The sequence below is a fragment of the Homo sapiens genome, chromosome 1 (assembly GCF_000001405.40).
Source record: "Homo sapiens chromosome 1, GRCh38.p14 Primary Assembly".
NCBI classification, from domain to species: Eukaryota; Metazoa; Chordata; class Mammalia; order Primates; family Hominidae; genus Homo; species Homo sapiens.
The window spans coordinates 11,415,670-11,417,164 of record NC_000001.11 but is presented as its reverse complement, the minus strand read 5'-3'; the positions used below and the strand labels follow the sequence as shown (position 1 = coordinate 11,417,164).

Here is a 1,495-nt window from a genome sequence, read left to right as displayed (position 1 = left end):
ATAATAGGGGCCAGCTGAGTTCACAGTCAGTCAACAAACACTTAGTGAGTCCCCACTCTTGGCAAGATGCTGTGTCTTAAGATACAGAAAGGAATAAGACACAGCTCCAATCTCAGAGCACTCTGTAGACCTTGGTGAGAGCTGCAAAGCAGTGGGCCCAGGGAGCCATGGAGGCTCAGCGGAGAGGATCCTCCTGGAGACTGGGATGGGATGAGGAAGTTGGGGAAGGCTTCCAGGAAGAGGTGACATTTGAGCTGAGTCCTAAAGAGTGAGGAGGAGTTGGCCAGGAGATGAAGGGCATTTCAAACAGCAGGACCAGCATGGGCAAAGGCTTGGAGGCCGAGAAAGTCTGGGACATTTGGGAAATTGAAAGTGACTTGTTTAGGCTGGAGCACAGGGAGCATGTGAGTTGCTGCGGCTGACGGGCCAGCAGGGGCCAGATCATAAAAGGTGCTATGGACCAAGGGGAGGAGCTGGAGCTTTGTCCCCTGGGCTGCTGCAGATGAGTGACTGGGGAGGCTTCCAGGAGACACACCTGAAGGGTAGCGAGCACAGCAGTACTGCCAGAGGGAAACTGATCCGAGATCACTGCAGGACTGGCCAGAGGGAGAAGCCGATCCTCAATCGTTGCCCCTAAGATCTGAGCTCATCCCGTGAAGGGCTCTGGACCTGGACTGGTCACTACAGAGGTCCCAAATAGAGGCAAGGGAACAGACGTTTGTATAGTTACATCTGTCATTGTCAGGGGGCCTGCAGGGAGGGGTGGGGTAGGGTGTGACATTGATCAAGACAGGTCTATAGGCCAAAGGCAATGCTCTGTGAGGGGCACAGTTTTGAGCTATCAGCAGCTTCTAATTCCAGCAGCTAGGGGTGGGTGCATGCCCTGGAAGAGGGAACCTGGGTGGAGACTGCAGTACCCGTTACACCTTGTGTGACTTGGAAAAGCCTCTTCTCCTCTCTGGATCTCAGGATCCACAACTGGAAAAAAAAAAAAGTTTGGGACCTGTGGTAGGCAGAACAATGTCCCAAAAGATGTCCACATCTTATTCCTGGAATGTGTGACTAGATGACCTTCCATGGAAAGAGTTTTTGCAGATTTGAGCGAATTAAGGACTGAGATGGGGAGATTATTCTGGATGGCCTGGGCGGATCCAGTCTAATCATCCAAGTTCTTAAAAAGGAGAACTTCTTTCTTCTGTGGAGATAGATATGGTCTTCCCGGCTTTGAAGATGGACAAAGAGGAATGATTCCAGGGATTCCAGTGGCCTCTAGAAGCTGGAGAAGGGAAGGAAACAGATTTTCCCCTAGAGCCTCCAGAAAGGTGTGCAGCTGTGCCAACACCTTGATTTTAGCCCAGTGAAATCCATGTCAGGCTTCTGACCTTCAAAACCATTAGGAAATACATTTGTGTTGCTTTAAGCCACTAAGTTTGGGGTGATTTGTTATAGCAGCCATAGGAAACTAATACTTAATCGAAGTCTAGGGGCAGCTCAT

At 50.4% G+C, this 1,495-nt stretch overlaps 1 annotated feature.

Annotated features, from left to right (window-relative positions):
* Positions 228-912: an enhancer, noted in NCBI's record as "H3K4me1 hESC enhancer chr1:11476310-11476994 (GRCh37/hg19 assembly coordinates)". NCBI's record gives its function as "activates a minimal SCP1, AML or CMV promoter by ChIP-STARR-seq in primed H9 embryonic stem cells {active_cell/tissue: H9 hESC(primed)}" and the evidence as "EXISTENCE:reporter gene assay evidence [ECO:0000049][PMID:30033119]".